We start from the raw sequence: 25,611 nt of genomic DNA, 5'->3' as shown, positions 1-25,611 counted from the left end.
ACTTTGGAGAGAATTAGATGGGAACTTTCTGGATATTTGAAAACTATTGGCTTAAGGTTGATCCGAAATAAGTCTATAGTTGTGTTTATATTTAAACTGAATCTCTTACAGAAAACATATAGTTGAGACTTTTTTTTAGAAGTTGACTGACAATCTCTGCATTTTAATTTGATAGAGAGTGTTTAGTAGACTTATATTTAAGGCAGTTATTGATATGCTTGTGTTTAGCCTACCATTTTACTATAGGTTTTGTGTTTTGTTCTCTCTGGTTTTGTTTTTTTATTCTTCTTTTTCTTCTTTTTTTTCTGGACTATATAAATACTTTTTATCTTTTTATATTTCCATTTTAATTTTTTTAGAGTTGGGGTCTCACTCCATTGCCCAGGCTGGTCTCAAACTCCTGACCTTAAGCGATCCTTCCGCCTCAGCCTCCCAAGTAGCTGATATTACAAGCATGAGCCACCATATCTGCCTTTGAACGCTTTTTAAATTTCATTTTTATTTGCCTTTGTCTTTTTCTTATTTCTCTTTGCATGATGTCTTAATGTTTTCTCTATGGATTACAGTGTACATTCTTAAATTTCACTGTGTACTTGAAATAGTATTGTACCTTTTCACTTAATAGGTCCATTTAACCACACACCCCATCCTTTACACTATAGTTGTAAAGTGTATTACATCTACAGACAAGATAAAACCCACAATATAGTATGTATTTTAAAGAAATTAAGAGGAAAACTACTCTTTTATATTTATACACATATTTACCTTTAATGTTCTTAAATCCTTCCCAAAGATCTAAGCTTCTCTCTGGTAGCATTTCTGTAAGCCTAACAAACTTACTTTAGTATATTTTTTATTGGAAGTCTATTGGAGATACATAGTATTAGTCTTATTTTATTTGAAAATATCTTTATTTCACTTCGTCCTCAAGGAATATTTTTGTTGGATAGAATTCTATTTTCTTTCAACTATTTAAAGATACTGTTCTACATTTTACTGCCTTTCATTGCTTCTGATGAGAAGTCAGCCATTATTTGATTCTTCTTTCCTCTGTCAATATAATGTGTCATTTTTTCTCTGGTTTAAATATTTTCTCATTATCTTTGATTGTCAATAGTTTATCAACTATGTGCTTAGAAGTTTTAAAATTATTATTTACCCTGCCTGGCATTTGCTAAGCTTCTTGAATTTATAAATTTATGTCTTTTACCAAATTGGAGAATTTTTCAGCCTGTATATCTTTTTAGTACCTTTTCTGCACCATTATCTTTCTTATCTTTTTGAAATTCCGACTACAAGTATGTCAGACCCCTTAATATAGTCCTAAATGCCCATGAGCCTCTGTTGTTTTTCAACTTTTTTTCTGTGCTCTTCAGATTCAATAATTTCTATTGAACTATCTTTAAGCTTACAAATTCCTTTTGTGTTATATTCGTTGGGCTATTATATCCATCTAGTAAATTTTGTGTCATATATATGGTATATTTCAGTTCTAGAATTTCAATCTGTTCTTTTAAAATATATTGTCTATTTCTATACTGGTTGTCCCTATTCTTTTTATTATTATGAACATATTTTCCTTTGCTTCATTGAGCATAGTTATTATAGTTGCTGCTTTTAAAACATTGCTTCATTATTCCAATATTTACATCATCTTTTAGTCAATCTCCACTGATTTTTTTCTTTTATAAGAATGGATTACATTTTCCTGTTTTTTTTATTTACCTATTTTTGGATTGTCAAATAATTTTGGAGTGCAACCTGTGCGTTATAAATATTATGTGATGAAGATTCTGTTCTATTCCTCCAATGACACTGATTATCTTTTAAAATGGCAAGCAGTGTGGTTAAACTCAAACTGCAAACCTGATATTGCTTACAGTAAGTAGAAGCTCAAATCTGAATTCACTTTTTAATGTTGACCAGGCTGCTTTGAGTTTGCCTTGCACAAGCATGGTTCAGAGATTATCCAATAATTGGTATTTATTTTAAATACAGAATTTGGGCTTCTTCCTCTCTTGCTCCCTCCTTTATGTTTTCCCGCCTCACTTTCCAAATAATGTTGTTGCTGTGAACCCTGACCCCTGGTTCTTCAAACTAGAAATATTGCATATTTTCTAACAGAGTTTTAGCTACCTCACATTGCACAGACATGCACTAGTCTTGGGCTGAGGGTCATAAAATTTGGGAAAGTTGCTCCATGCCTTTCCTCTGCCAAGTGTTGACTTTCCTCCACAATCTGCCTGGTGTTGGTCACTCTCCACTGCCGATAATTGTTTTTAATTTTTAACAATATTTTTCTAGTGTTTTATATTGTTATATGTTGGGGAGGGGCAGTCAATTAAACAGAGCTACTCAGCAATGGCTGAAAGTAGCACTCCCTGCAATTGTAGTTATATCTGCTAAGTGGCTAGGTTATTGGGAGGAGCTAGTATGAACTGTTTCCTTTGCTAAATTAGATTTCTCTCCAGTAGAACATTCTTTTGGATGCAACCCAGTTTTTCAGAAGATTGAAATACATTTGCATAGACCTAAATCTGGAAATTGAGTAAAAACCTTCTGAAATCAGGTACGGTTAATCTATTATGGCTGAACATCACTTTAGAATGAAGGCTTAAATAAATATTAATACCACTATAATACAAAGGAAAGAATTTTAATCAAAAAAAGAGAATAGTTAAATGCATTCTTGGATTTCCTCTGAACTTTGTTCAAATGCTAAACACAAAATTCATTTGAGTGAGTTACAGTAAGCTATACCTTTATGTTTGTTACCTTATTTGTGCTTAACTTACCTCCATGTACACTAAAACAAAAACTTCCTAAAAGCACTCACTTTTATACTCAATCTTATCAGCTACTTAAATGTAGCTCCTTTTGTCCAATTATACTGTGGCCTATGATGCTTAGTCACTTTGGAATAATGGTCAGATAGTTTTCATACTCCCACGGGAAATATATGGAGAACAGGCTAGGGAAACATGTTTATTCAAATTTAATACGAAGCAACCAAGCTAAGAGAGAAAATGATAGCACACCCAAGAAAGAAAGAAATGTTATTATATAAATTTTCTTAGCTCTCAAACCACAAATAATTATAAGAACTTATCTTCCTATCATAAGATCATGGAACATGATGCCTAAACATAAAATTGTAAATGTTTGTTTTGAAAAAGAAGACAGGCTGGGCATGGTGGCTCACCCCTGTAATCCCAGCACTTTGGGAGGCCGAGGCGAGCAGATCACCTGAGGTCAGGAGTTCAAGACCAGCCTGGCCAATATGGTGAAACCCTGTCTCTACTAAAAATACAATAATTAGCAGGCGTACTCATGCATGCCTGTAGTCCCAGCTACTCCAGGGGTTGAGGCAGGAGAATCGCTGGAACCCAGGAGCTGGAGGTTGCAGTGAGCCGAGATGGTGCCGCTGCACTCCAGCCTGGGCAACAGAGCGAGACTCCATCTCAAAAAAAAAGAAGACGACAATAGGCAATTTCTTCTGAAAATCTTCCCTGTTTTTAAAAAGAATAAAAAAGTTAAAGAATATTCTGCTTGACTGGATATTTAGGCTTACAAACATCCATACTTGCAAAATTATATACACACACACAAACACACGAATGCTCATTAGAAGAATATTGTAGTAACAAAGAACTACAATCTAAAAATCTGCTAATAGAAGACTGAAAACTATGATTCATTCTTTCAAAAGAAGGAAGATTATATATGTGTGCACCTATGGAAATATGTCCATCATGCACAACTCAGTGAAAAAGCAGAAGTCAGAAATGTATATATAGTATATCCATTTCATCTATTTAATTTCTTAATATTTATGGAGTAGATACATAAGAATGTTCTGGATAGGATTACAAGAAATTGGTAACAAGTTATTCTTGTGGAGAAGGTCTTTATAAAGATGAAGGATGAGGAGTAAGAGAAGCTTGTGCTTTTCAGAGCTGTCTGTGCAGATTGGCTTTTTATCATTGGTATTTTTACTTCTTAAAAATAATGATTTTTGAAATCAAAGAATGCCTTGCTAGAAAAGAAGCATCACTTGTTATTTTTTGAATGTTATATTCAATTTATAATCAATAAATATTTATAAAATGCTTATATACAAGGTATTGCACTAGGTTCTTTGGATAATCCATAAAACAACTTGTGCCTTGGTCCCTGTCCTCAAGAAGTTTACTGTCCAGTTGTGGACTATGACAATAAACGCTATTTGTGATAAGCACCGATTGAGAAGCACAGGCAATAGTCTTTCAGGAGTTCAGAGGAGTGATGACTTTTGACTGTTAAGGAGGAGGGGTTTAAGAGCTACGAGAAAGAAAAAGTACGAGCCTAGGACAGATAATAGAGATAACAACAGAATTATAGGAAATGAGCAAGAGGGTGTGTCTGAAAGGGGATCTTCCTCCTGACAAGGAGGGCTGATTTTTCTTATGGGAACAGCAAGATTGTTTGCAAGCATACTTTGTTGGTGAAGGCATCCTTTTACCAACTATTTCATTAGCACTATCCAGCTCTGCATGTCTCCAGGGACAGTGCTGGCTTGATTAAGCTCTGAATGGGTTTCTGAGTTGCAGGGAAACTGGAGGGAGGAGAGACCCATTTTCTACAGTATAGCCTTGTCAGAGCTGAAAGGAAGGTAGTACTTCCCAGTTTAAAGAGAGGAAGAAACTAAATTGCTTGCTGGAACCAAAGAAGACCCAGAGATGTCTGACTGACTGTTAGGCAGTGAGGCAGAAATTCCAGGCTGGTAGAAAGATCTGAACAAAAAAAAACAGACTTTATTGAAAAGGCAATTCCCAGGCCTGCTAAATGGAAAGAGAGATGTCTATTGGAAGGAAGTAAAACATTCTTCATAAAGAAGGTTTGGAGCCAGATATAAAGAAAGATATTGAATGTCATATGATAATTTTTGCACTGAAATAGACAAAGGATAAAAGTTTGACAGTTCATAAAGGATGCATTTTTTAAAAGAAAAAGAGGATAGAAAAGGATAAAATATGTCTTAAGATATATTTTAAAAAACAAAAAACAGGCCAGGCACGGTGGCTCACACCTGTAATCCCAGCACTTTGGGAAGCCGAGGCGGGAGAATCACAAGGTCAGGAGTTCGAGACCAGTCTGGCCAACATGGTGAAACTCCATTTCTACTAAAAATACAAAAATTAGCTGGGTGTGGTGGCACATGCCTGTAATCCCAACTACTTGGGAGGCTGAGGCAGGAGGATCACTTGAACCCGAGAGGCGGAGATTGCAGTGAGCCAAGATTGCGCCATCACACTCTGGCCTGGGCAACAAGAGTGAAACTCCGTCTCAGGAAAAAAAAAAAAAAAATTAGTTTCCTCTAGGAAAGTCCCTGGGTGCCTAAGGGTCAGAGAGGAGAGGCTTAAGTCTCCCTTTTTCTGTCTTTTGAATTTTTACTTATATAAATATATTATTTAAAAATTAAAATTAATAAAATGATGATTAACAGAGAGAGACTAAATTAAAGTGTTGTATGTATGAGCTGAGATTAACAAATGGGCTTTATGTAAGCTAGGCAGACCTTTGGTGCCAAATAGCCTGAGTTTAGATGTAGGCTGTGCAGCCATTGTCTGAGAATGCTGGCTCCTAGCACCTGACAACAGTTTTAGAAATTAGATTCGTAGAGCTGAAGAAGAGATGCCTCAACCCATATGGCGCTGGGTTGGGGCACAGACCCTCCCATGGGGAGGAGGTAACCCTTGTTCCAGGTCAGCCCATCAACAGATGGCAACTTCAGGGTCGTTCAGCAGACAATTCAACTTGTCTCTCTCCAAACACTCTCTCTCTCTTTTTTTTTTTTCCTTTTTTTGAGACAGAGTCTAACATTGTTGCCCAGGCTGAGGTGGAGTTGTGCGATCTGGACTCACTGCAACCTTGACCCCCTAGGCCCAAACAATCCCCCCACCTCAGCCCCCAGAGTAGCTGGCACTACAGGCATGTGCCAACATGCCCAGCTAATTTTTGTATTTTTTGTAGGGACAGGGTTTTGCCATGTTGCCCAGGCTGGTCTTGAACTTGTGGGCCCAAGCAATCCTCCCGCCTCAGCCTCCTAAAGTGTTAGGATTACAGGCATGAGCCACTGCACCTGGCCCACACTCTTTTAATATTTGTTTGTTTAAAGAACAGCATTCTGGACTGGGCGTGGTGGCTCACACCTGTAATCCCAGCACTTTGGGAGGCCAAGGTGGGTGGATCACCTCAGGTCAGGAGTTCGAGACCAGCCTGACCAACACAGTGAAACCCTGTCTCTACTAAAAATACAAAAAAATTAGCTGGGCGTGGTGGTGCATGCCTGTAATACCAACTACTCTGGAGGCTGAGGCACAAGAATCACTTGAACAGGGGAGGTGGAGGTTGCAGTGAGCCAAGATCACACCATTGCACTCTAGCCTGGGCAACAAGAGTGAAACGCCATCTAAAAAAAAAAAAAAAAAAGAATAGCTTTCTGTATAAAACTACAAAATTATACAAAAACAGAAGAAAATAGTAACTATCCATTTACTTAAAATAGGAAAAAATAACCCAAATATTTCTCATTTATGACAGCAACATAATTAGAAATAACCAAAATATTGCTATTTACTTACAATAATGTAAAGTTGGAAGCCACTTGTAGGTCTTCCATTAGGTCGGTTTACTTAAGGCATCATTTCACTAAGTGCAGTAATTCACAGAGGCTTGTTTCTCACTCAGATCATATAGTCTGATGCCGATTAGATGGTCTTTTCTCTGCTAAGTGGTAACTCAGGAATCTAGGCTGCTTCCGTATTACAGCCATGTCAACTAGAACCTCCAAAGCCACTGCAGCATCAGACAAGAGAGCTGGAGGGAGACATGAGTTTTTTAGCCCCGGGCCAGTCATTTTCACCCACACTCTATCAGCTGGAACCCAGTCACATGGCCCCAGCAGAACTGCAAGTGAGGTGGGGAAATGCGAGCATCCCATGTGCACAAGGAGAGGCAGCAGCGGACAGAATGAGCAAGCACACTGGGCACAGGAGGAACTTTGTTAATAAATTATGATATATCTTTATAGTGGAATATCATTTAGGCTTTAAAAATCAGATTTTGAAGAGTACTTAATGACAGGAAAATGCCAATGATAAGTGAAAAGAATGTAGACTCAGGATTCTAATTTGGGAAAAAATCATACATGTATATACGTACTTAAAATATAGACTAAGAGGAAATAGAAAATATGTTATTTGTGGTTATCTCTAAATAGTAGGGTTATAAGTTACTTTATTTTTTACAGCTTCAAAGACATTGCTAAGTTTTCTTAATTGATCACATATTTTTTCGAAAAGAACTATGGATAACTTGAAAGCCAAGGCTTTTTTTTTTTAAGTGAAAAAGAAATTCTCAGACCATCGAAAGTATAAGTTGTTACAGATACGAATCTGAAGTTATGCTAGTAAGCTTTTTTATCAGCAGAGGGCAGCTCTTTAGTGCTTATTTTTCCTGGTGGCATAGATGTTAGCCACATTCCCTGTTTTACACATTCGCTGTGGTCAGAATCACATATTAGATTTATTCCCTGGGAAGGAGAAGCCAAGGCTGAAACATATCTGTCAGTTGCAACACTTATTGAACAGTATATATTTTGCTGAAGAAAGCAACTAAGCAAACCAGCTCTGCCCCTTCAGAAGGTCTTAGAAAGCAGACAGAACTAACAATCTACAGCCTCAATCATAAAACTGTGGACACACTGAACTATCACACACCACGGGAACACTGACTTCACCAGAAAGCGACCACATTTTGTTTGGAAGGGAATGAGGACTAGGCCAAGGCGGTTTGATATTCCGGTAGGAAAGGGCTAGACAGAAACCATATTTCATGTGTACAGTGAGACTTTGTGGATTAAAAACTATCATTTTTAATGTCCATCCAAGGCAAAGAATATTAACAGGATATGAACAGACTAAATATGGATGGCTAATTAAAATACAAAAATGTGCTCAATATGTATTTTTAATCTATCATGTTGAAAATTTTACAAGATTGGTCATGTCCCAGTGTTGATGAGGTATGTGGATCAACAGTTAATTCTCAAATGCTGTTGGTGGGAGTATAAATTAGCCTTTGTACTACCAACATTTTAAATGTGTGACTACTTTGATGGACAATTGCCCATCAATTGCTCCTTTACCTCAAGGTAACTCACTCAGCAGAGATAATGTGGGTGATGTGAGCAAGGCCTGTGCTGTCCTGCTGTTCAGCTCCCTAACCTAAGCCTACTCTCAACCCCTCAACCAGCCTAGAAAAGGTCCAAAGCAGGAGAGAGAGAGAGAGAGAGAGAGAGAGAGGAGAGAGAGAAGGAGAGAGGAGAGAGAGAGACAGAGAGACGGAGAGAGACAGAGAGACAGAGAGAGAGACAGAGAGGAGAGAGAGGAGAGAGAGAGGAGAGAGAGAAGGAGAGAGGAGAGAGAGAGAGAGAGAGAGAGAGAGCCCCCCTATAGAGCCCTCTAGTGGCTGCTTTTTAGAGAACTGGCCACTTGAGGAATTTGCTTCACGTCTTCCCACCACGGTGCAAAAGGCAAGACTGACATCAGAGGACTTTGATGCTTGGCTACCTGATCCTACCACCACCACCTGAGACTGGCCAGGCACAGCCCTCTAGCTTGACTTTGCCTAAGATGAGCTCTGGGCATTCCCAGAGTGGTACAACTGAAAATTCCTTCCCTGCTAGTTAAAGAAAAAATTGTTCATGGATAATTAATAAAGCCTGTTAAGAAAGACTTTATTCGGACCATCCCATAGGTATAGGGACCACAGCAATGGGATTGCAACTCCAAATACAGCATGGGCAAGTAGAAATGTATAGCCAAGGAGCAGGGTGGTGGTCAGTGGATGGAAAAGTGCTAAGGGAAACCTGAGGAGTAAGGGGGATTCTGTGTAAGGCAACCTCACAAGACTCTTGCTGAAGACAGGCCAGGGTGATAAGACATCACCTGGGAGATGGTGAATGATAAAGAACCTGATCAGATATTGAGGGTGGGTGGGGTAGGGGGTGGTCTTGCTAAACTGACTTAACAGAGTTCTTGCTAAAACTAGATTTTACGAGGAAATACACATATGAGCCTACGAGAGGGTTCAGGACTCTGACTAAAGTTTGGCCAAGCGAAGGATTTTTGTCACGGTGCCCCAATGCATACAGACAAGGAATCTGGCAAAATCCCCAAAGATGTTATCTTATGTGGAATCCCCTGGAAGCACAGGGACACACTGGTAAGGCAATTCCCTGGAGCAACTTAGGTTTCCAATTGCTTCCTTGAAAATATGCAAACTAACTTTTTTAATGACCTCGAGTTATACAAGGTTGAGCAAGTAAGGAAAACATTATATAGGTAGGAAAGAATGGGGGGTGGGATAGGGACACAAAGGAACGTTTAGGTTTGTAAAGTGCTTATTGCGTGCCAGGGATCAGGGCTGCTACCTATACTGGTGCAATGTGCTGGCCCACCCACAAGCTCTAAGGCACCTCTGCACACATTAGAGAAAAGTAGGTGCAGGGTTTAGCAGAAAGACAGAGATTTCGTGTGAAGCCAAACATGCCCTATTCTTGGGTATATGCAGCTGCATGTCGAGACACACAACTTGGCAAGAAAAGGGGACTTGAATGTGGTTCCTGCTCACCTCCGCCCTGCTGGCCAAGGACCTTGGTGGAGTGCACCAACCCCCAGCTATATCAGCAACCTCCAGTTTTGCCAATGCCAAAGGCCCCCAACCAAGAAAAATAGTGAGAGCTAAAATCTAGCCCTTGCTTTGCTGGCCCTGAGCCCTGTGTCAATCTGGAGGGGTCACCCTTGTGTAATAAGCACAAAGTTACCTTTGTGCCAGTGGCCCTGACTGTATGTTGTGTCATCCTCTAATTCCCCTGTGAGGTAGTCAGAGTGGATTTACTGTGAAGCTAATGACACAGACTTTTCCATAGACCCAGAGAGAGGCTCAAGGATTGGTTTACATGGTCATGTTTTGTCCTAACATTTGCAAAAGCAGGATAATTTAACTGTATAATTATAATAATGTAAACTTGCATAAAATTTCACCTAAAAATATTGCCATAGCAACTTTTGAAGACAAGTACAATTATTACCCCATTTTATAACTGAGACAGAGAAAAGCTCAGTAGCATTGCTGTTGAGTGGTAGGTAGAGCTTGAATTTGTTGCAAGCTGGCTGACTCCAAGGCCAAAAGATCATGGGGAATATGTATATTGTTTCCAAGAAGACAAAGTTTCCAAGAGCATCCTACAAGGTGCTGTTCATTCTTGCCCCAAATTCTCCAGATGTCATGAGATATAGAAGAGAAACATCTTTCGATGTTGTTCTAGTCAGAGGAGACTTCTAATAGGCAGAGAACAAGTTATGGAAGCTGTTCCTGAAAGATGCAGTTGTCATTGTGGAACCAGTCTTGGATATTGTGTGGCAGCTGGACCACACAGCCATTGTTATAAAGGAGAGCAATATGCCTTGTGACCCTTGTATTATTTAGGGTATAGTCTTTCAGGGAGAAACAACTTTTCCTCTGTCCTCTTAGGTTCAGTATCTGGGGGCCTGTGAATTAAACTAACAAAAGATAGATTAATGAGAGAAAAAGCGTGCAATTTTTGCTAATATTTATATGCACAAGAGTTCACAGAAAAGAAGTGAAACTCAAAGAAGTAGTTAGACTTCTAGTTTACATATAATTTTAATAAAGGAAAATTTGAACTTCAAGGGATGATAAATCATGGGGAAGTAACTAGGAAATATATGGGGGAAACTAACAGAAGATAAAGGTTCTTTTCCTAAGGTCTGTTATGCAGATTTATCTTGGTGCCAACTCTCCATCTCTGGTGATATAAGTTGCTCTCCTTTTCCTGATACAGGAGATAGACACCATAACAAAGGGAAACTCATGCCCAACTTCTAGGCAGATAAAGGGAGGGTGGAGAACTCTTCTACATCTGTTGATTTTCAGTTGCCTTTGGGTCAAAATAAACCTTACGTTAAAGTGGCATATTTTGGGGTAGCGTATCCTGATCCCCTTCAAGTAAAGAAAAAAAAAAAAACAACAACACTGTGGCTTACCTAAAATCTAAATTTATCTCCCTCCCATTTAACAGTCCAGAATAAGTGGCCTGGGTCGGTAGGACAGCTTTATCATGCTCAATATATGGCTCCCAAGATTTCTTCAGCCAGCCATCACCTAAGGCACAAGTGAGAGTCCCTTTGGTTCAGACAGAATCACATGGTCACATCTAGCTGCTTAAGAAGACAAGAAATTAGTCTCTAGCTGGGCTCGTGTAAAACTTGGGGATTCTTTTACCAAAAAAAATAGAAGGGAAGATGGATATTGGGAGATTATTGGCAGTATCTACCAAAGTCATGAAGCCAACAATGGTTTGACTTAGGGAACTCTGGGGGTTGAGGACTGTGAGTATGATGTAAAAATTAATGTGAATTTTAGGACAAAGAAGATGAATAAGAGAGACAGCTTTCCCTGGGGGTAATGGGATACAGGTTGCACGAGGCAAAAAGAAAAGTGGAGCACAGAGACAGCCACTTCAGGGAACTTTCCTGTGCTGTGGGTGAGGATAATTCCACAACAAGAAGATACAAAGAAAATCTGAGAGTCACTTCTGTTCACTCACAAGATGATTTGCGAGACCCAAGAAGAAGACCTGTTAGCTTAGAGAACAGGGAGAGGATTTTTTTTTTTTTAATGACACAAAGGAGAAAGATTGAAACTTTTCTAGTCTATCCACGGCAGAGTTTATCAATCCTTTACTGAGGAACGATTCACTATCACACAAGGTCTCATGGATGGTAACCACATCCTTCCTCTTCCTTCCTCAACCAACCTCTGTAAAGAGTATTCTAGGACTCATTGTCTCTACCTTCTCATCTTTCTACCAATGAAGCAGCTCCTGTTTTGGTGTTGAGGGACATTGTTATTGCCCAATTCAGCAGTACTTTACATTCTTACATGGTGTTTCTCTGCGTCACCTATTTTAAATAATTAACCATTTCCTTCTTCCTCATATTATTTCTTGTCATGATTTCTATGACATCAGTTTCTCCTAATTCTCTCCAGCTTCATCTTCTCATTCTCCTCCCTAAACTGCTTGTCTACTTACATCGTGGTTTGTTAGAAAGAGTAGATTGGCTCACTCAAGTTGATCTTAACCTCCTCCTGAGTTTCAGGGGCTGGAAAGCTAAAAAGCTACATATCCTAAACTCCTTTGTTTCTTGAGTTCCAGACATATTTTAGATTCTGCCAATCAGATGGACTCATATAGTATGGAGACCTGAAAAGAGGCGGGTGGATGCAAGGAAGCTATTTTGGGGAAGAATCTGATAAAGGCATTTATTAGATTTTCAATAAAATCCATGTCTTAGTCCATTTTGGCTGCCTAAACAACAAATGTTTATTTCTTACAGTTCTGGAGGCTGAGGAGTCTGAGATCAAGCTATCAGTAGATTTGGTGTCTGGTGAAAGCCTACATCCTGGTTTATAGATGGCCATCTATGGCCATCATGTTATGTCTTCACATGCAGGAGGGATGGAGGGAGCTCTCTCTCTAATAAGGGCACTAATCCCATCCAGGAGAGTTCCCCTCTCATGACCTAATTGCCTCTCGAAGACCCCACCCCCTAATCCTATCATCTTGGGGGCTAGGATTTCAACAGATGAATTTGGTGGGGGGAACACAAACATTTACTCCACCACAGTCTATAAACCACAAGCCATAAACAGTCTATAAGCCATAAACAGGGTGAGTCACTGCTTTATGCCTTCTTTCTAGGAAATGCATCTGCTCTCACGTTTCCATTTCCTGTGTGCGCAGATGATTTCTATGTTAGTCAGCTATTAACGCAAAAATGCTGCATAACAAACCACCTATCTTAGTCTGTTCTGTGCTGCCATAACAGAATTACTGGAGACTAGGTAATTTATAAAAAACCAGAAATTTATTTTTCACAGTTCTGGAGGCTGGGATATCCAAGATCAAGTCACCTTCAGGTTTGGTCTCTGGTTTTAAGATGATGCCTTCCTATGTCCTCACAGGACTGAAGAGCAGAAGAGAGAGACAGCCCATTCCCACAAGCTCTTTTCATGGTGGCATTAATCTGTTCATGAGGGTGGAGCTCTCATGACCTAAACAGCTCCCCAAGGGCCCCCACTTCCCAACATGGTGGCATTGAGGTTGAGTTTCCAACATGTAAATCTTAGAGAGGACAAAAAATATTCAAACCATGGCACCACTGCCAAATTCATAGGCTTGCAACAAGCCTTTATAGTTTTTTACTCATAGGTTTATGGGTCATTTGGGGCAGCTCTGCTTCAGGCTGCAGGTCACCTGGGCTTTCTTTGGGCTTCAGATTGGGTTCTGATCTCCCCATTGCCCTTGATTGACAGTTACTCATGACATGTTCTACCCATGACATGTTCATCCCATGACAGATCAAAGAAGCTTAGGAGAGAAGCCATGTCACACAGCACATTGAAAGCTTCTGCTCTTATGTCTGCTTCTGTTTTGTTGAACAAAGTAAGATACCTGGCCAAGCTCAAAGTCAATGGAATAGGAAAGTATAATTGTCCTCCAGGGGAAGAAGGAAGGGAATTAATATTTTGTAAAAAGTTGACCAGATCAGCTGGGCGCGGTGGCTCATGCCTGTAATCCCAGCACTTTGGGAGGCTGAGGAGGGCAAATCATGAGGTAAGGAGATCGAGACCATCCTGGCCAACATGGTGAAACCCCGTCTATTCTAAAACTACAAAAATTAGCTGAGCATTGTGGCTGCGTGCCTGTAATCCCAGCTACTCAGTAGGCTGAGGCAGGAGAATCGCTTGAACCAGAGTGTCAGAGGTTGCAGTGAGCCAAGATCGTGCCACTGCACTCCAGCCTGGCAACAGAGCAAGACTCTGTCTCAAAAAAAAAAAAAAAAAAAAAAAAAAAAAGATGACCAGATCTATTCCAACTTCCAATAGAAATCTCAAGCTGAGAATATTTTTCTTGGGCTCCAGATCCTGCCTGTGAGACATCATCCCTGTGTTCATGTTGTTTCTAAGGCTGTCTTCAGAGATGACTGTGACCTACCCACAGCAGGTGGGGGTGGATATTAATAACTGCCAATTCACAGAATAAAGCAGGAAATCTCTTTCAGGAGATTGACTTGGCTCCTGCAGAGAAAAGACATACTAGAGAGGCTGGGCACTCGTGTGTATACAACTAAAAGTTCCTTTAAATATAGATGGAAATTTATCATTTAAAGCCTTTGATGATCTAGTCCCTTTCTAATTTTTCAGTTTTTATCTTTCACGGTTTTCTCTTTTGAAACTTCTGCTTTACTCAAACTACAACAAACAAAAACAAACATCATTTAAAATAAAAGAAAGAAAGGTCTTGTTTGAATACCGACATTTCCCGGCATGGGAGGATAAATTCAATTTCGTTTGCCATTTAAAAAGATATAAAATTGACACACAGCCTGAAATAACTTTTATTATATTACCAGGTTTTCAATCATCCAAATTAAATGTGAAAGTACCATTTTGTTGAATTTTTCATCTGAAAACACGTTTGATTTTGAGCATTTTTTTTTCAAAGTGAAGATGAATAAGGACTTTCAGAAGCCTCCCACCAACCTTGAACCCTGGCTTCTGCTGAAGTCTATAATTGCTTCAGACAAAAACAGGAAACCTTTGAAATAAGCTGTTTTTAAATAAAGTATTTTAAAAATTGATGTGTTCCTTCTTACACAATACTTCTCCCAAATTGGTCTTACCACTTAAGCTGAGTTAGGAAAACATATGACTCAGAGATGAGAGTATATATATATATATATACACTGCACCTAACATATAACTGAGACTCCTGGGAGAAGCCACATCTTAGAACTTACTGTGAGCAGAGGATAAAGATGGGTAGGTTGAAATCCCCTTAGTTTCTGCCCGAGTTTGATTTATTTATTTTTTTCCAAGGGATTTATTGTGCTGCCCACCAGAGAGATGAATTTTATCTCTGAATTTTATCAGTCCTCTCAAAATGGTGACAATCAATACCACCACAATTCCAACTTCTTATCTCGGGAGTCTAATTGTATTTTTCAAAAACTTTTTATTATGGAAAATTTCAAACATATGCAAAAGTAATGAAAAATATTATAAGGAACCTCATGTGGTTATCACCCTGCTTAAAGAATTATTTAGTCCCAGCCAATCTTATGCCATCTAAATTCTGACCCACTTTCCTTCATTCCACTGGGTAATTTGAAAGCAAATCTGAAACATCCTGTCATTTCATCTGTAAATAGTTCAGTTTGCGTCTCTAAAAGTTCATCATTACTTCACAAAATTCAACATCATTTTCAGGATGAATATTATATTGTAAATAAACATAGTGTATAAATTGCTGTTAAAGAGAAAATTCAGTTGTTTCTTGATTAGACACAATTTACAACTGAAATCACCAGGATGAATCATCCTCAATGGATGTCAGAACGTGTAAACCACAGAGGCATTAATTTATCAAACTTGGCACGAAACATATCACTTCAATTGCCCACTTTAATTGGAATATTTTTATTGTATTTATTTTAAATAAATTCAAAAAGAGTTTTTCACATTCTGCTTAGCCGCCAGTTTTTTTAAATTCTTCCCGTGACAGATCTTGAGTGATTTTCTAGGGAAGTAACTATCTTTGCAAAATTATATTTTTCCCCAATATCTATTAATAATCATGGCTTTTGAACTTTAAACTTTACATTTTCCTTCAAATCAGCTTCTTTTTCCTACTTGTATCGTAACATACACTGTCACAGTTTGCCTACCCAGTTATCAAAGTTTAAGAGGTATTAGCCTTCTATCATTGCCTCCCCACCAGGTTTCAAGTGCTTAAATTCCAACACATTTAATACTGTTATCATCAGCATTTCCCAAGTGGCTTATTGAAAATAAGGTGGTGGTGGTGGTGGTGGTGGTGGTGGTGGTGGTGGTGGTGCTGGTGCTGGTGCTGGTGGTGCTGGTGCTGGTGGTGGTGGTGGTGGTGGTGGCGGTGGTGGTAGTGGTGGTGGCCTGTGTGTACTGAGGGAAGTTTAGGGATGATAAAGACAACTCTCATTTTAGCCCTAAGCATTGGTGGTTCGCCTACTAGTTTAAAAAATTCATTATCACTACGAATTTTCACTGCCATATGATACTTCTTTCTTGTTTTCCTACAAAATTACTTGTCCTGTGTTTTTGGTTCTTTTTCTTTTTTTGAGACAGAGTCTCACTCTCTCGCCCAGACTAGACTGCAGTGGCGCAATCTCAACTCACTGCAACCTCCACCTCCTGGGCTCAAGCAATGTTCATGCCTCAGCTTCCCGAATAGCTGGGATTACAGGCATGCACCACCACGCCTGGCTAATGTGTGTGTGTGTGTGTGTGTGTGTGTGTGTATTTTTAGTAGAGACAGGGTCTTGCCATGTTGGCCAGGCTGGCCTGGAACTCGTGGCCTCAAGTGATCGACCTGCCTTGGCCTCCCAAAGTGCTAGGGTTACACGCATGAGCCACCATGCACAGCCATTACTGGTAATTTATTAGTCAATTTTTAATTTTATTTATTTTTAATTGAGATGTAACTGACAAACACTGTATGTATTTAAGATGTACAACGTGGTGTTTTGATACACATACACATTGTGAGATGATTCCCCAAATAAAGCTATTTAACCTATTTATCACTTCACATATCTGTTTTTTGGTCATCTACTCTCTGGGCAAAATTCAAATATCCAATATATTATTATTCTATAGTTATGATGCAATACATTAGATTTCCACAACTTGTGCATTTTAAAACTGTGAGGTTGTACCCTTTGACCAAATTCCCCCATTTTCCTCCATCCCCTACCCGCTAGCAAACACCGTTCTGCTTTCTGTTTCTATGAGTTAGACTTTTTTAGATAACATATATGAGTAAGATTAAGCAGCGTTTGTCTTTCTGTGCCTGGGTTATTTCACTTAGCATAATGTCCTCCAGTTTCATCCAAGTTGTTGCAAATGGCAGGATCTCCTTTTTTAAAGTTGAGTATTATTCCAGTGTGTGCAGTATGTATACACACGTATACACATGTACCCATGTATGTATGCACACGTATACACATGTACCCAGGTATGTATGCACGCGTATACACACGTACCCAGGTATGTATGCACGCGTATACACACGTACCCAGGTATGTATGCACGCGTATACACACGTACCCAGGTATGTATGCACGTGTATACACACGTACCCATGTATGTACACGTATACACATGTACCATGTATGTATGCACACGTATACACATGTATGTATAGATGTATACATGTACACACTTATGAATACATGTGTATCTACATGTACACATGCACACATGTATATGCACATGTGTATACAGGCATGTATATATGTGTGCTTACCTACGAATATACATACATACACATATCTGTATGCATATACACACGTACATATCGATATGTATATGTATACATATGTGTCCGGAATTGGTGGGTTCTTGATCTTGCTGACTTCAAGAATGAAGCTGCGGACCCTCGTGGTGAGTGTTACAGCTCTTAAAGATGGTGTGTCTGGAGTTTGTTCCTTCAGATGTTCATATGTGTCCGGAGTTTCTTCCTTCTGCTGGGTTCGTGGTCTCGCTGACTTCAGGGGTGAAGCTGCAGACCTTTGCAGTGAGTGTTACAGCTCTTAAAGACAGCACGTCCGGAGTTGTTTGTTCCTTCTGGTGAGTTTATGGTCTTGCTGGCTTCAGGAGTGAAGCTTCAGATCTTCGCAGTGAGTGTTACAGCTCATAAAGGCAGCGTGGACCTAAAGAGTGACCAGCAGCAAGATTTATTGCGAAGAGCGAATGAACATAGCTTTCACAGTGTGGAAGGGGAGGTAAGTGGAGTGGGTTGCCGCTCCTGGCTTGGTTGGCCTACTTTTATTCCCTTATCTGGCCCCACCCACATCCTGCTGATTGGTCCATTTTACTGTGAGCTCATTGGTCCATTTTATAGAGAGTTGATTGGTCCGTTTTACAGAGAGCTGATTGGTGTGTTTACATACCTTTAGCTAGACACAGAGTGCTGATTGGTGCGTTTACAAACCTCTAGCTAGACACAGAGTGCTGATTGGTACATTTACAAACCTTTAGCTAGACACAGAGTGCCGATTGGTGCATTTACAATCTTTTAGCTAGACACAAAAGTTGTCCAAGTCCCCACCAGATTAACTAGACACAGAGCGCTGATTAGTGCGTTTATAAACCTTTAGCTAGACACAGAGTGCTGATTGGTGCATTTACAAACCTCTAGCTAGACACAGAGTGCTGATTGGTGTGTTTACAATCCTTTAGCTAGACACAAAAGTTCTCCAAGTCCCCACCTGACCCAGAAGCCCAGCTGGCTTCACCTCTCAATGGCACTCTCCGCGGGACTTTGCAGCACCTAGCCCGGGCACTCTGGCAGCCCAGAGGGAGCTCATCCCCCAATCAAGCCCAGCAGGCACTGAGCCCCTGACCACCCGGAACCCGCACCGGCCTGTGAATGCCACGCGCAGCCCCAGCTCCCGCCGGCACCTCTCCCTCCACACCTCCCCAAGAGCAGAGGGAGCTGGTTACAGACTCGGCCAGCCCCAGAGTGGGGCCCCCACAGCACAGCGACAGGCTGAAGAGCTCCTCAAGTGCGGCCAGAGCGGACGCGGAGGCCGAGGAGGTGCCAAGAGCCAGTGAGGGCTGCTAGCACGTTGTCACTGCTCACATATACACGTATATACACGTGTATACATATACATATGTATATACTTGTATATACATATGTATATACTTGTATATGTATTCATGTGTATATACATGTATATAGGTGTACAGATGTATATAGTATGTATATATACATGCATGTGTACATGTATACATTGTATACAGTTTACATGTATGTATATATGTACACATGTATTCCAGTGCGTGTATATATACACATAATATATACATATATGTATATTCATATACACGCATATGCATACATATGTATATTCATATACACGCATATGCATACATATGTATATTCATATACACGCATATGCATACATATGTATATTCATATACACGCATATGCATACATATGTATATTCATATACACGCATATGCATACATATGTATATTCATATACACGCATATGCATACATATGTATATTCATATACACGCATATGCATACATATATGTATATTCATATACACGCATATGCATACATATATGTATATTCATATACACGCATATGCATACATATATGTATATTCATATACACGCATATGCATACATATATGTATATTCATATACACGCATATGCATACATATATGTGTATTCATATGTACACATGCATACATATATGTGTATTCATATGTACAATGCATGCATATGTGTATTCATATGTACACATGCATGCATATGTGTATATTCATATGTACACATGCATGCATATGTGTATTCACAAGTACACATGCATGCATATGTGTATTCACATGTACACATGTATACATAAGTGTATTCACATGTACACATGTATACATATGTGTATTCATATACATATGTATACATGTGTATATTCATATATACATATGTATACATATATGTGTATATTCATATATACATATGTATACATATGTGTGTATATTCATATATACATATGTATACATATGTGTATATTCATATATACATAGGTATACATATATGTGTATATTCATATATGCATAGGTATACATATGTGTATATTCATATATACATATGTATACATATATACACACATATACATATACATACACACAACTTTTCTTTAACCATTTGTCTATTGATGAACACAGTTTGTTTCTCTATCTTGGCTACTGGGAATAACGCTTCAATGAACATGGCAGTGCAGATATATCTGAGATACTGATTTCATTTCCTTTGGATATATGCACAGAAGTGGGATTGCTAAATCATTCAGTAGTTCTATTTTTAGTTTTTGGAGGAAACTCCATACTGTTTTCCATAATGGTTGTGCCGATTTACAATTGTACCCTTTTCTTCACATCCTCACCAACACTTAATTATTTTTTGATTTTGTGATAATAGCCATCCTAGTAGGTTTGCGGTCTTATCTCATTGTGGTTTTGATTTGCAGTTCCCTGATGACTAGTGATGTTGAGCACCTTTTCATATACCTGTTGGCAATCTGTATGTCTTCTTTGGAAAAATGTCTTTTCAGGTCCTTTGCTCTATTTTTAATCACGTTATGAGTTGCATGAGTTCCTTATGCATTTTGGATATTAAGCCCCTATCAGATATATGGTTTGCTGTGCAGGAATTTTTTAGTTTGATGTAGTGCTACTTATTTGTGTTTGACTTTGTTGCCTGTGCTTTTGGTGTCATACCCCCAAAAATTATTGGCAAGCCCAGTGTCAAAAACTTTTCTTCTCTCTTTTCTTCCAGGATTTTTATAGTATCAGGACTTGTATTTAAGTCTTCAATCCACTTTGAGTTGATTTTTGTATATGGTGTGAAATAAGAGTCCATTTTCATCCTATGGCAAGTAAATATCCAGTTTTCACAACACCGTTTACTGAAGAGACCATCCTTTCCCCAATGTGTGTTCTTGGCACCTTTGTTGAAAATGAATGGACTAAATTCATAACTTGGCCTCTGGGCTCTCTATTCTGTCCCACTGGTCTCTGTGTCTGTTTTTATGGCAGTACCATACTGTTTTGACTACTATAGCTTTGTAATAAAATTACAGATGCCTTACCATTCCATGTCATTTCCTTCTGCTCTGTCCACACCATTTTGAATAATTTATTCCTTAAACTCCTTTCAGATTACCAAAGTATTTCCTAATAATTGGTTGTATGTGCATTAAATATCTCTAGAAGGAAACACAAAAAAACAAGTAATCATTTTCTATGAGCTAGGAAACTGGGTGGGGAAAAAAACTTTTCATTGTATACTTTTACAATTCTTATTTTTGAATAATGTGGATGCATTAGCTATATATGTGCATGCATAATATATATACAAATATACATAAATGTGTATGTAGATATATAAATAAATAAAATGCAGTAATATCTAATATAACTATTTTTCTGTATATTTACTCTAACATGAAAACTTTTTTTTAATTTAACTTTTATTTTACATTCAGAGGTACATGTGCAGGTTTGTTATATAAGTAAACTTGTGCCATGGGGGTTTGTTGTACAGATTATTTCATCACCCAGGTTTAAGCCTAGTACCTATTGGTTATTTTTCCTGATCCTCTCCCTCCTCCCACCTTCCATCCTCCCATAGGCCCCAGTGTATGTTGTTCCCCTCTATGTGTCCATGTGTTCTCATCACTGAGCTCCCACCTGTAAGTGAGAACATGCTGTCTTTTTTTTGGCAGGGGGGAGGGGCAGTGAGACAGAGTCTCGCTCTGTCACCCAGGCTGAAGTGCAGTGGCATGATCTCAGCTCACTGCATCCTCCGCCTCCTGAGCTCAGATGATCTTCCCACCTCAGCCTCCCGAGTAGCTGGGATTACAGGCATGTGCCACCATGCCTGTCTAATTTTTGTGTTTTTAGTAAAGACAGGGTTTCACCATGTTGGCCAAGCTGAGAACATGCGGTCTTTGGTTTTTGGTTCTTGCACTGGTTTGCTAAGAATAATGGTCTCCAGCTCCATCCATGTTCCTACAGAGAACGTGATATCATTCTTTTTTATAGCTGCATGGTATTCCATAACATGAAAACTTTTACTGTGGCACATCTTTAGACTTTTGTACTTTTTATAGGATTACTTCTGTATTTTAGGAGGAGATTTGGAATTCCTCATTAGTATCTACATAATAAAGTATAGTTTTTCTGGGAATAAAACTATTTGAAACTAGACATCTAAAATTAAATCATGAAGTAAAAGTGAACTCAGCTTTAAAAAATAATTGAAAAGTTAAGTTGCCTTTAAAAAGTAATTCCTCATATTACCTAAATTGATACTTAGCTATATTGTGTGAAGATATTTCTAGACCAAGGACATCTTTAACCTGTGAATTAAAGTCTCTATTCATGGCTTTTTTTTTTTTCTTTAACTATGGAGACCTTAGGAGCTAGAGAGATACAATAAAAGGAAGAAGAGTTTTTTTTTTTAATGACATCTGCTTAAAGGAGGAGAAGTCATTAGATCTATTATCTTCCTACATCAACCAACTATAAAGGTAAAATAAACTATTTTTCAGATAAACAAGATCTCAAAAAATTTACTTACCATGCACCCTTTCCAAGGAAAGTACTGATAGATGGGCTCCACCAGAACAAGGAAGTAAACCAAGAAAGAGTGAAACAAGAGATTCAATGCAAGAAAGATGTAAAGGAAGTCTCTAAATTAATGGGAAAGGAGATTCCAAGAAAACAGTAGGCAATCCTAGGTATCGATCATCCAATTAATGTGGTCCAGAAGGTTCTAGAAGAGACATCTTCCAAAAAGTAAAAGTGATAGTGTACTTAATTTGTTTGAATGTATAAAGAGGAGATTTACAGGGGGAGTGTTTGGAAATTAGTGATAAATACATAGAAAACTAAGCAAATGGAAAAACAAGTCAGACATTCACTTTAGGGAAAGAAAATGTAAGGGGAAAAGCAATCATATTCTATTATATTACTGAGCTTTCTTTGTCACTTATGTATTGTCATAATAACATGTTTACTGGGCACTGATTCTAAGTTTACTGGGATGGTGGGTAGATGGGAATTGTTCTCTCTCTCTCTCTCAATCCCTGTATGTGTGTATGTGTAAGAGAGCAATATGTTCAGTTTCCATAGAGGTAAGTTGATGGTAATGCTAAAACAGAAAAATTTTTAAAAAGTAGCAATATAAACATTTTTTCCAGGGATACGCAAATAATATATCAGAGGAGCTGAAACTAATTGCCTCTGGAAAACTGGTAATGAGAGCAAAAAGAAAGGCTGCTCTTTCTCATAAAATCTATAGAGTTATTTGACTCTTGTCATAGGCCGATTCTCTGGAAAGTAGATTCTGAGATGGATCCAAGAGTTTTATTGGGGAGTATTCTTGGCATCAAGGAAGAGACTGGAATGAAGAACAAGGGAGCCTGTTCTTTATAGGTCAGCTCCTTTGGGGAGGTGGCAGGGTGGACGGTGGATCTAAGAGCAAATAGCATATTCATCACATGGAATGTGTTTGTGCTCATGTCATAGAAGTTGGAGAACAGAACCTTCAGCTCTTTTAACTTGGTTTCTTAAAAAATAACATGTTATTGTCATACACATGTCTTAATTCAGTGGTTGTTCTACACTCAAGATGCCTTCCATAGAAACCTGCCTTCCAAAAAAAGGAGGTATGTGGGTAACACAAAAAAGATCTGGGTATTCTTGCATGTCAGAGTTTGGGAAGCACTCTGTTAAATCCATTGTCACTCAGATTTATTTGTCCATAGACCCATTTTCAAATCACATGATGCTATCCTAAGGAATACACTAATAAACTCATTTAATTATTGTTGAGCTTTCTTCAAGAATGCAATCCCCAATGTTGTCATTGTTCTTAGAAGGAAACATAACTGTCTTTAGGAGGAAGATTCCAAGAATTGGTTGGTTGTGGTGAAAACAGAGTCTGCCTATACATGCCTGGGTGAGCATTGAAAAATGGAAACAAAACAAACAAAACACACCTCAGGCAAAAGAGGAGAACCAGGGGAAAGAATAAAAATAGGGGTGAGGAGTGGAGCTGTTTTGAACCAGGTTTGAAAAATGCAGTAAGCATCAAGGGGAGTCATAAGAGCACAAATGGGAAGCCATTTTTTTTGCTTGTTTTTAAATAAAAGTTTAGAGGAGGGGAAGGCTTTCTCCCCAGGAGGCTGGGTGGAGGAAAAGGATCTGATTAAGGAAGAGGTGGGTTGGATTCCAGGAAAGGCAGGCAACTACACTGAGGTTCAGGTGAATGAGATCATTTAGTTTCAACCTAAACTGGCTGTGTCTGGAGCAGCCAGACGTCAGGAGCCTGGGATCTGCCAGGGAATCTGCAAAAACAGGAGCAAACCAGCCTGGGGGGAAAGGAATGGAAAGTGCAGGGCATGACTTAAGTGTTAGGTTTGATCAGTCAAGATCAGTGACTCTCAGTGTGTCTGTGATTGTGTCTGTGATTTTTCCACCTGTGTTTAATCTGTTGTGTAAAACTTCCCCAGGCTGGGCTAGCTTTATTCTCTGAAACGGAGACTGTAATAAATGTCTTCCCCATTGCAGAGGTCTGAGATAAAGAACAGTAAATTAAATTTATTAAGGAGGTAGGAGATACCAATGAAAAGATTGGAGATTAAGGAAATAGAAAACAGATATACTGTAGAAAGTATCAATATAGTAAAAATTTGATACTTTGAAAATATGAAAAAAAAACCTGACAAACTCCTGGCTGGGGGGAGGTTTGGGAAAACAGAGTGGTCTTTTGATTCTAAGATGACCCTCTAGAGAATAAAAAAAAAAATGTGTGCACATCTTTATCTTTGGTCTTATAAGAGTGGGTGAAGGAAGTGAACTGGGTGAACATGAAATTACTTGTAATTGAGTAAGCCTGGGAAAATTTCACTAAGAGAGCTAATGGTGGATGTGAGGATAATCTTTACAGGTTCTAAGCATTTTTCTCTTCTGAAACTGTGTGTGTGTATGTGTGTGTGTGTGTGTGTGTGTGTGTGTGTGTGTGGTCAGAGGAGGGGAGGGGGGGCAGGTGGTTGTTTAAAATATTAAATAGGTACAGCTGGGTGTGGTGGCTCACGCCTGTAATCCTAGCACTTGGGAGGCCGAGGCAGGCAGATCACCTGAGGTCAGGAGTTCAAGACCATCCTGGCTAACATGGTGAAACCCTGTCTCTACTAAAAATACAAAAAATTAGCCAGGCATGATGGCACACGCCTGTTGTCCCAGCTACTCTGGAGGCTGAGGCAGGAGAATGGTGTGAACCCAGGAGGTGGAGCTTGCAGTGAGCCAAGATCGTGCCACTGTACTCCAGCCTGGGTGACAGAGTGAGACTGTCTCAAAAAAAAGAAAAAAATTAAATAGATACTAAAAAACATTAAAATATATATGTAGGGTAACAAAATTATTGTGATAAAAGCCAATAAGTGGTTGCCAGGGCTTAGGGCTGGGAGGAGGGTAGGACTCTCAAGAGGAAGGAAATTGTTTCTTAGTGTTAATGGATCAGCTCTGTATTCTGATTGTGATGGCAATTACAGGAATCTATACATGCAATAAAATGTCAAAGAGCTACATACACACTCTCAAAAATTGTATATGTAAAAACTAGTGAAATCTGAATAAAGCCTGCCATTTAGTTCAATGTCAGTTTCCTGGTGTTGTGAATTGAACTTGTCTTATGCAAGATTATATCATTGGAGGAAGCTGGATGAAGGGCTCATAGGAACTCATTGAACTCAAATTTCTATTTGAAATTTCTATATGAGTATGAAATTATTTCAAAATAAAGAGCTTAAAACACTTGCGGGGGGGGGGGTGTTAAATAATAAGAGTACGACAGGTGT

At 39.0% G+C, this 25,611-nt stretch overlaps 1 long non-coding RNA gene across 3 annotated transcripts in view, besides 1 other annotated feature; it reads left to right on the top strand.

Moving 5' to 3' along the window:
- Positions 1 to 25,611, top strand: part of OSMR-DT (OSMR divergent transcript) — a 152,617-nt gene that overhangs the window by 5,293 nt on the left and 121,713 nt on the right. The window contains exons 2-3 of one of the 3 annotated variants that reach the window (NR_171677.1): positions 17,827 to 17,954; positions 20,523 to 21,159. The exons of the other annotated variants lie outside the window; for them this stretch is intronic. This is a non-coding gene — a long non-coding RNA (OSMR divergent transcript). Of the gene's footprint in view, positions 1 to 17,826; positions 17,955 to 20,522; positions 21,160 to 25,611 lie in introns of those variants that run through there. 3 annotated transcript variants of the gene reach the window in all.
- Positions 9,392 to 10,591: an enhancer, noted in NCBI's record as "BRD4-independent group 4 enhancer chr5:38830048-38831247 (GRCh37/hg19 assembly coordinates)". NCBI's record gives its function as "activates an origin of replication core promoter dependent on BRD2, P300/CBP, MED14 and CDK7 cofactors, and independent of BRD4, by STARR-seq in HCT116 cells {active_cell/tissue: HCT116}" and the evidence as "EXISTENCE:reporter gene assay evidence [ECO:0000049][PMID:35650434]".

Source organism: Homo sapiens, chromosome 5 (assembly GCF_000001405.40).
Source record: "Homo sapiens chromosome 5, GRCh38.p14 Primary Assembly".
In the NCBI taxonomy this organism is placed as follows: Eukaryota; Metazoa; Chordata; class Mammalia; order Primates; family Hominidae; genus Homo; species Homo sapiens.
This window is presented reverse-complemented; position numbering and strand designations above follow the sequence as displayed.